General features: G+C 34.6%; 1 protein-coding gene across 38 annotated transcripts in view; it reads left to right on the top strand.

The window, feature by feature from the left end:
- The window catches only part of PEX5L (peroxisomal biogenesis factor 5 like), a 241,980-nt gene that overhangs the window by 139,329 nt on the left and 92,601 nt on the right, over positions 1-10,050 (top strand). For 30 of the 38 annotated variants that reach the window (NR_146167.2, XM_047448299.1, NM_001256753.2 and 27 more), the window contains one exon: positions 9,825-9,936. The exons of 6 other annotated variants lie outside the window; for them this stretch is intronic. Coding sequence is in view for 28 of the 32 variants with exons in the window: in XM_047448299.1 (XP_047304255.1) it covers positions 9,825-9,936 (112 nt within the window). In the remaining 4 variants the exon portion in view is untranslated. Of the gene's footprint in view, positions 1-673; positions 1,513-1,857; positions 2,157-2,916; positions 2,964-9,824; positions 9,937-10,050 lie in introns of those variants that run through there. 2 more of the 38 variants (XM_011512888.3, XM_011512891.3) reach the window with 2 other exon arrangements.

Genomic DNA, 10,050 nt, shown 5'->3' with positions numbered 1-10,050 from the left:
CCATGCAGAAAATGGCATTTGTGACCCCTCTTATACATAGTGACCTTGAGAACAAAAATGTCATCTCTATTATAAGCACATGAGAGCCATTTTCAGCATTTATTATAACAAGTATAGAAAAAAGTCTTCATTTGTATGCAAAGACATGTGGAGACTGTGAATCCTATATGTCCTCGGGGACTTTTGAAACACCCTGTAAAATCTACATAAATATGTATAATGTACTCATCACCACTCTGTGGAACTACCAGTTTTAAAATCGCAAATGAGAAATATTTTTACTTGCATTTATCTTATAATTTAGATTAGATTATTTTAAACATTTCATTTTTTCCATTCAGTTCCGATTATATGATTCAGTTCCGATTATATGAACATGCCTAGAATTCGAAAAATGTCCATTTACAGTCCTCATGAAAGACATTTATATCAAAAGCTAAATTATGGCAACTTATTTTTAGAATATCAGCGGATCTCATCCCCAGCTGCTGCCAACATGTGTGGTTTTACTTTATTCTAAATACTATGTTGTAAGTTATAAAAATTATAACATATAACATCAAAATTAAATAATTTTTAAAGCTATTAAAGATTCCCAAGACTTTGGGATACATTTTATGTTTTCAGCTTTTTTTATCCCAAAAGAAGAGATGCTACTTCCTAATAACACATGGTAATCATTGGAAAGAAATTTGCTTGATATTTACCAAATTCCTCATTCTTTACTTAATATACATAGTAAAACATATACAGTTTTACACTGAATCAGAGTCAGACCTCTGTAGACTCCCATGTCCAAAATTTTAAGTCCACAGTCCCTCAGGTGAATGCTATGGAAGGTGAGAACTACTTGAAGTTCTTGCTTAAGGGCAGAGCCATACAACGGTAGATAAGACCTAACCAAATTTGCAATTGGCACAGTTGTACTGTAACATATCACCTCAGGACTTCACAATCTAGGGCAGGTTCCAGTACCCAAGATTCTTTTTTCACAAAATCACGCATTGCTGTGTACTTTCTGATAATCTTTTCACATGTCCAAAATTACCATTATAACCTAGGCTTGCATTTAAAATTTAATGCAAAATAACATTTTTGATTTTTAATTTAGAAAAGAAATTGTGATTATTACCATTTTCTCATATCCAGGACATTTGTTTGTACCAAGTTCTTCCTTTAATCCCTGTCTAATGTTGCATTAACTGTTTTTGAGGTATTAGTTACACTTTACTGCATGAAGATTACAGAATGCTTTATCTGATGCATCATATTCTTGTTGCATACTGGCCGGTTTATGAATCAGCAAACAGAGTTCTGATTCAAAAAATTTAATGCACCTGTTGTGTTGATAGTATTACAGAATTAATTTAGTGACAGCTGTAATACAATTATTTCTCAGTCAAATGCAGTTTTATTAGTTGATATACTTTTTCCACTATACACAAGTGGCTTCTTCCCTGCTATGCACCAGTGGCATGCACAAACCAAAAAGAAGCAGAATGATCTGAAAAAGTGAGTACTTCCCATGACAACCATAGCATCTAGTCCGTGTATCGTACCACATTCTTACTTGTTATCTTGTGTGAATGTACTACTACTGTCTTGACACGTTTGTCCCAGTGTCTCCTGTAAAGCCCCTTATAACATAGTGCCACATACTGCTGAATACATTGATTCATCTTCATCACTGGTATGTCAATGCCAGATGCTCATGTGATAGATTCCAGATATGTCTGAAGATAATTACTACTCTATAAATAATGTCATTGGGATAATTACGATACATAAAATAGAAAATAACTCACTGAAACACTGAGCTTTTATCTTATTTCATAACTTTTCACTCAACAGACTGTAAGTGTAGAATAATCCCATATTCTAGAACTTTTTTGTATTATGTGATTATTACTGTGTGTTCCTCAACTTTTAGAGGAATTAAGCCAAACATACTCTAGTGGAGCTGTCTATATTACACCAAACAAATTGAATAATGCTGAAGTGTTGGCCAGGTGACCTGAACTCAGAAATTGCTGGACCACTGACAGCTGCTGTTTTTTGCTTAAAATAATCATTCATTCCATATTAAGCAAACAATATGCAAGGACTTCATAGAAGCTCAAGTTCATGCTGTCCAAGACTAACACTTAAATCAAATAGTATGTAAAAAAGCATGTGTTGATGAAAGGTTTGAAGAAAATATGTGAATCAAGTCTTTGAGGAAAAAAAGTTTCTCTGGACCTGTGCTGTCCAGTACAGTAGCCATGAGCTACTGAGCTTTATGTGGCTCCTGAACCGTGGCTGCTCCAAACTGAGATGTGCTGCAAGTATAAAATACACACCAGATTTCAGAGAGTAATCAAAAAAAGTGTAAACTATCACATTAACGATTTTTATAATGATCATATGTTGAAATGGTAATATTTTGGATTTTTTGATATATTGGCTAAATCAAATATCTTATTTAATTTCACTTGTTTCTTTTACTTTTTTAAAAGTAGCCACTAAAAATTTTTAAATCATGAGGCCCTCATCATAATTCTGTTGAACAGAATATTCTATTCTAAAGGGTAATAGTATAAACAAATTCAATTTGAGAATAGAAGGGAAAGCCGTTTGCCAGAAGATTGATTATATCATAGAAATAAACGTATTCTCTTTATGAGAATGAAATGACTTTAGTGAATACTTTTCTCTCTTGAGGAACCTTCAGAAGTTTTGTTTTTGACCATATCTCCTAGATACTTTTTTAGCAAGGTATAGCCCATTTATCTTTGCCTGTTGAACACAGTGTCTTAAAACTGTGTTGCAGGTCTCTTCTTGTTAAGGGACTTTTTTTTCCAAACCCAGCCTTTGTTTTTTCTATCTGTCATCACCCATTATATCTCAGTATTAATTTAATTTTTGTTTCTGATAAAGATAAAAAAGTAATGTCCTCGATTGGAAGAATATTTTCAAGGCTGCTAGTAAGTACAGCCTTGTTTGGGTTTCCATTTCTAACTTAAAAAATTGTCTTAATTACATTCTCCTGCCTGCCTTAATTTATTGTTAGCACTACCCAAGCTGTGATCTGTTCATTTCCCTGGGAATAGATTCACATTTTACAAAAGTCTAGCTATCCTGTCAGGAAAATAGTTGTAGCTAGCTGGTTGAGATTTAGATCAAGTCAAAGAGTTGAAAGTTATCACTTGATTATCCGTTACCAGAAGACTAATAGGAAGTGGGGGGTGGGGCAGTCCATTAGTACTATAAGCTCAGAAGAAATGAATTCTGTCAGGCATCAGAGTTACGATCACAGAGCTCTAAAAATCTGGATTTTTAGCGGTTGCATGGTAATGATTTAGTTGTCTTTATCTTTTCAATTGATACAGTCAGTTGACTTGGCTTTGATATTAATGAATCACTCACTGTATGGTCACTATATTGACAGACACCGAATAAATTTCTAAGCTTGGATAGGGCTAATAAAACCATAAACAAGTAGTTCAATTATAAGATTATGACTAAAGGCCTATTTAACAAATGACTTTAAATTAACAATGTCACAGAGTCGGGTGAAGTGGTTGGCACCTGTAGTCCCAGCTACTCAGGAGGCTAATATGGGAGTATCACTTGAGGCCAGGGGTTTGAGACCAGCCTGGGCAACATAGCAAGACCCCATCTCAAAAAAAACCATATCACAAATAATAGAGGAATTTCAAAACTCACAAAGATATTTGTGTTTCATTCATATATAAACAAAACAATTCTAAAATTTTTCTATTATTTAAATGAGGTAAAAAGACATGCCATAGTATTATAAATTTTCTAAATCAACATTACAAATATGAGATATTTGTCAGCTGTTTTAAACTTATTAGCTTCAATGTTTTAACTTTAAAAATTATTATTGAAGTACCAAATGCTTAAATATAAAAACAGAATATTTTACTTTAAAACAATTCAAGATCATCAATCTGAAATGTGAAACTACAGAATAATGGATTATTGTCCTTTACAGACATTGTTTTATCATCTACAATGTATTGTGCTTTAGGGTTAATTCTTAGTAATATGTTATCAGAAACTTTGAGCTCTATATTTTTGAATGAAACATCTAAGTAATATATCTCTTTAAAGACAAACACAAAGATTCAAGTCACGAAACAAGATTTAAGTCACAAAACAAACAATATAAACATACACTGTAGTTTAAGTAACAAAAAATATTTAAAAGCAAAACATCTTTTCATCTTATTAGTTTCTTATAGCTTAGATTATTTAATAGTTTAATTTTAAAACATTGAAATTGAGAAATTCAAGTGGAGCTAAAGCAAATGTAGTTTCAGATAAAGTTTTAAGAGCTGGGTGATATAATCTGCCTTTGTTCCACACAAAGAAAACACTGTATTGATATATGAAGCAGTTTGGTGATATGGTAGCTAATATTAATTACATCAGCTGGCCAGTCTGAGTAAGTCATAATTCAAGTGAAATCATTTGATTGAATATTTGATTACAAAGAAGGTGTAATGGTTCAATAGTCTTTTGCATTCTGATTGACAACAAGCCCCTACATGCAAGTTCTCACCTATCTTCTTACTTCTAAACAAAAGAGTTTTCCTTTGTTTCTGTGTCAGTTGACCACTTAAGGGTTTTCCCTCAAAATCTCAAGATTTGAATCTGTGATTTAAAATCAGCATGGAGGGAATAGGATTGTGATGAAGTGTTGCTGGCTTCTCATTCACATTGGTCCAAGTCCTTCTTCAAGTGTCGAATGGTATGGGGTAGGCTTAGACCTTTATTTTAATTTTTTTTCATTAGGCATTCTCTCTTGGCACTTTGACTTCTTGGTAGAAGCCTTAACATTCTTGGTAGAAGCTTTGTATTTGGAAACATTTTCTTAGGTATCAGTAGGTCTCCAAACATTTAAAAGATGTGACTGGGAGGAAATGGGCTCAAGTGTGTGGTTTAAAACCGGCAAAGAAATTGGCAAACATTTCTGAGGACCACTGACCTCTCTGTGAATTGATCAAATCCAGTAGGAAATTGAGGACACCCATGCAATAATTCTTTTCTACAGTTTACCATTCAGTTAGACTGTATAAAATCAGTCAACATTGATTAAACTGCTACTGTTGAATACAAAAAAAATTCTTGGATGAGATCTCTACTCTAAAGGAAGTCACAGTCTAGTTGGCAGTTGGAGAGGGACAGATAAAACTAAGAGTATGACACTGGGCAAGACATGGGAACATGTAGGTGCTATAAAGAGGCACTCAATGGTTGGCACTAAAGAAGGTTCCTAGACAATGTGCCAGTTGAATGGGATCCTGAAAGAGAAATAAGAATCTGTCACCATTATAGAAGGTTCTTTGAACTGATCCAAATATTGAGAAGAGGAAAGGGGAGAATAAGAAATGAAAATTTAAAATGTGGACAAACTGAGACAAAGGCCTTAGCAACTAATGAAGTGGGTCATTTTAACTCAGCTATGATAATCTGACTAGACCAAAATTGCAATCAGTTCACCTCAGTTATTTTAAAAAATTAGAAACCTTTGGGTTACTTTTTATTATTTGTATAACATCAATATACTCCATACCCAAAAGACAAAATAAGAGAAGTTCATAAAGTTATTTTCAAACTAAAAGAAAGTCAAGAAACCTTATCCTACTAATGCATAAGGAAAGAATAAATGTTATACAATTTGGAAATTAAGCTTAAAGGGAATAATTGGGAGACTCAATTCAGTTTGAAATTTTCTTTTATGATCTAAAACATGTATTTGTTCTCAAGTCACCAAAGGAAATATCATAAACTTGTTCAAAATGAAGAGGAAGGGATGGAAAAAGCTATTCTTAATCTATGCAAATATAAATAAAATGGGACTTCCTATGACTAAAATAATCATTCCTAAATTCCTGCAACTGAAGATGCAATTTAAAATTGGACCATTTTAGATAGGTATTTTTACATCTTCAGTTTCTGCAAAGTCACTTCCTCATTTAATAGCCATTTATTGAACCCCTTTTAGACATAGACATTCTATTTGAAGTTGTGAAGGATATAAATATAAGTAAGATATTCTCTGGCTTCAGAGCTTATAAGGAAAGATTTCCGTATCTTCATAATATCTCCTGTTTCATCTTCCGTATCTCCCATCAAAACCAAAAAACTTTCTGTTCAGTTTCAGTTACCTTTCCATGCTATCTGTAATCTGGTCTTTCACGCTTGAGCCCTGCTATTATCCCCCACTTCAGCCCAAGCATTTCTCAATAGCTAAATTGTGCTGCAGCTTGAAAAACACTGACTCAGAAGGTAGTTTGTTACTCCTTCTTTGATTTGAATTTGTGGAAGAAAGCCACAGGAGTAGCTTAGTTGTAGAAGTCAGGCAGTTATAACAGTTCCATCAGTCCAGGTGTGAACTATGGTCAGAAACAAGACAGTAGGTGTGGAAAGACACAGACTTCCTGAGGCAGAGGTGTAGAAGACTGGAGATGCCACGCCTTTGTCCTGGGCTTCCTGAAGTCTCTCAGAATAGCCTCTCCTTTGGTATCCCTTTATTTGTATGCTGAGTAAATCTGAGAGTGCTAGTGTGCTTTCTCCAGAAAATTTGTCCAAAGTTTGAATAAAGAGACGGACTCCAAAAAAAAAAAAAAAAATTTTTTTACCTTTGGTAAAGCAGACAGGCCCAAAAGGACAGGGCTCTCATTGAATTGTGCCTTTTCCTTTGCTTTCCATTTAGATGTTAACAAACATTTTACTTTTAGAATTACTTGATCAAATTTAGACTATAGTTTTTATGCATTTGCAGCTAAAACTATCTGAAGAAATCTAACACCCTGGTCTTCCAAAACTATAGGTAATGTAGGCCTATATCACTATTCCACACATATATGTACACAGAACTGTGATTTAGGGATAAACTCTTAGTTTTTTTTGTTTGTTTGTTTTTTTACTAAGGCATTTAACTGTATCCAAAGTAAAGAAAGAGTACAGGGGATTTTCCACGGAATATAGCTCATACTTACCTACATAACGTTGATATTTCTCAAAATTATGAATAAGAGAACTCAGTTATTCTTAGCCATCTGTCAATGAAATTAAACTTTTTTTCAAAGAAATAATGACTATCAAAGAGATAGTTATGACATTGTCCATACATATTCATACTTTGAAAGTCACAGTTGTATTGGTTGAGTTTAGTCTTTGCGCTTTATACAATTTAGCCAATGGGTAAATAAGACCTAGACCCAGAGGCCAGTCATCAGAATGCACTGCTTAGTAAATGCAACCCTGTTACAATAATTTCTATGCGTATAGGGTGGTGCCATATTTGATGGTAACCTTCATCCTCTGTGAATGCGTATAACACAGTGGAATTCAGATCGCACTTCACAGCCATGAGAAGGCCACAGTGTGGAGGTGGGCATTGTTTGTGAAAGTAGGACCTCATCACTGCGTTGATCACACTAGATGAGTTCATTACATTAAGCACATATGGTTAAAAGAGCAAGTCCTACCAGGAAATATGTATCAATGTACAGGTCCTTTGGAAACTGTTACATATGTACAGTTTGGACATGCACTAACTACAAATGAGATACAGATTCTGGGACACTAATCATATTTTTAGATGAGCTCACCGGATCACTGATGTTTAGCTATTTCATCATTTTCTAGTATATTGTATTCTATACCAGTGCTTTCAACTACATTTCCAGATAATAAAATTGACTTTTATGCCAGAAAGTATTACAAATCATTCCTAAACTCAAATAGACCATAGCATTTACAAAAATTCAAATATATTTTATTCCTGAAACATAGGCAGCTCATAGTCCCTCAACATTTAAAAATATTTTAATATATATAGAATGGGTGATACCCAGGAATGTTCAAATTCAGAAAAAATAAAAAGCACTGGGGCTCAGAGTTTCACTCATGAGTCAAAGCAGCATCCTAAAATAAAAGATTAATACCAAAAGAGGCCTTGGATTTGATTCCTAGCAAAATCTGCGAGGTTTTATACATAGTAATACCAAAGCTTACAATAATTGAAGAAAGATCTATCCCTGTAACTTGAACGTTAAAAGAAGAAAAGCGTTCTCAAAGCCCATCCCTCAATAACAAATTAATATGTATAAAAATCTAATTACCAACTCTATATTGAAATCTTAAACTCTAATGGACATCTGAGATTTACACATGTTTAAATGAGATTTATCCATCTTTAAATAGCATGCATATGAGTACTAAATGTGTCTCTTGGCTTCCAGTCTCCAAAAGACCACTAAGTGCTTCCATATTGCCCTTTCAGAAATAAAAGAAGTGCACTTTCTCCCCATAGTTACCATTACTCAGGTCCCCTGCCACCTTCCATCAGCTCTAAACTATGAGACTGCTGACACTGTGCCAGAGAAACAATGTAGCGAAGGTGAGTAGAGTAATATAAAATATTTTGATTTGGTAATACTCCAAAGCACTCCATTTGCTATTTTATGCCTCTTAAAATGCAACTTAACAAATAAGTTCTTAAAAAATCTAGAGATTGGCCAGGCACAGTGGCTCACACCTGTAATCTCAACACTTTAGGAGGTCGAGGTGGGAGAATTGCTTGAGCCCAGGAGTTCAAGACCAGCCTAGGCAAGATGGTGGGACCTTGTCTCTATAAAAATAAATTTAAAATTTTTAAAAATTAGCCGGCCATAGTGGTGCACACCTGTAGTCACAGCTATTTGGGATACTGAGATGCGAGGATAGCTTGAGCCCAGGAGTTCGAGGATGCGGTGAGTTATGATCATGCCACTGCACTCCAGCCTGGGTGACAGACATCCTGTGCCTATTTAAAAAACAAAAAACAAAACAAAACAAAAAAACCTAAAGATTATGAGGTGTGTCTTTTTCTTAAGCAAAAAACTAGATGATTATGCCTGTTTTATGAAAGGCAAATATAAAAGCTCCCCCACCCCCCCCAAAAAAAACAGTTAATTTAGGGATCAACCACCTGAGTATCAAAAGTGTGTTTTCTCCCTTAACCGTAGAAACATAACTCGGCAAGACGGGATTCAAAGAGGTGCAGAATGATTGAAAGTAAATAGTGGTTGCCACTGATAATTAGAGATCCACTAAAAAATCAAACTGAAAGATTGCTGAAATTAGAAAATGAGCTAATGGGAAAACACAATTGAATCTACCGAGATATATTTTACAAATAGATTTTATAAACGCATGTACTAGATACCTACACAGTTAATATAACAATATTTTCTACTCTCCCAAAATAATATTTGTTATGTAATACAAAAGCATTCCAAGGAAATGTAGAGGGTGTGTTTTTAGGTGACCTGAGCTTTTTAAGAGAGGGAGACGAGGCAGGCATTTATCCACCCACACTGATCCGTGTGTTTGCACTCCCCACATAAACACTGACTGAGCAGTGCTAACCAGAACATGTCATCTTTGAGTCTGAAGCCACTGGTCCAGGTCTCAGTAGGAGCTTTTGTCCAGGTGAGGAGTGGGATTGGCCCTTAGCAACTATGATTCAATACGTGTCATTTTCTATATATTGAAATTAGAGAATAATCATATTTCAGGAGGGGGGAGGAAAGGCTTGAGCTTTAAACATTGAAGTTGGCTGCATCAAAAATATGTTGACAGTGCTAAAAGGCTCATTCCCCACCTCTTGATATTTTTTCTTTCTTGCCCCCACCCCATTATTTATTTATGTATTTATTTATTTTTGGTAGGCTTGCTATTCTCATTTTGTTGCAAGGCTGCATTTTAATTCATCTGACTCTGCAGTTTAACAAAGCCCTTTGACACCTCTGTTCATTTGTTCTCAGCTGGTGAATGAGCAACAAGAAAGCAGACCCCTCCTGAGTCCCTCCATCGATGACTTTCTCTGTGAAACCAAATCGGAAGCAATAGCAAGGCCAGTAACATCCAATACAGCTGGTAATTCTCTCACTTTTAACTGTTCCTCAACTAGAGTTAATTTTAACTATAGTAAAATGCACATTTTTTCCATAATACATTTTAAGTGAGGAAAGAACGTTTGCAACCAAATGA

The sequence above is a fragment of the Homo sapiens genome, chromosome 3 (assembly GCF_000001405.40).
Source record: "Homo sapiens chromosome 3, GRCh38.p14 Primary Assembly".
NCBI classification, from domain to species: Eukaryota; Metazoa; Chordata; class Mammalia; order Primates; family Hominidae; genus Homo; species Homo sapiens.
This window is presented reverse-complemented; position numbering and strand designations above follow the sequence as displayed.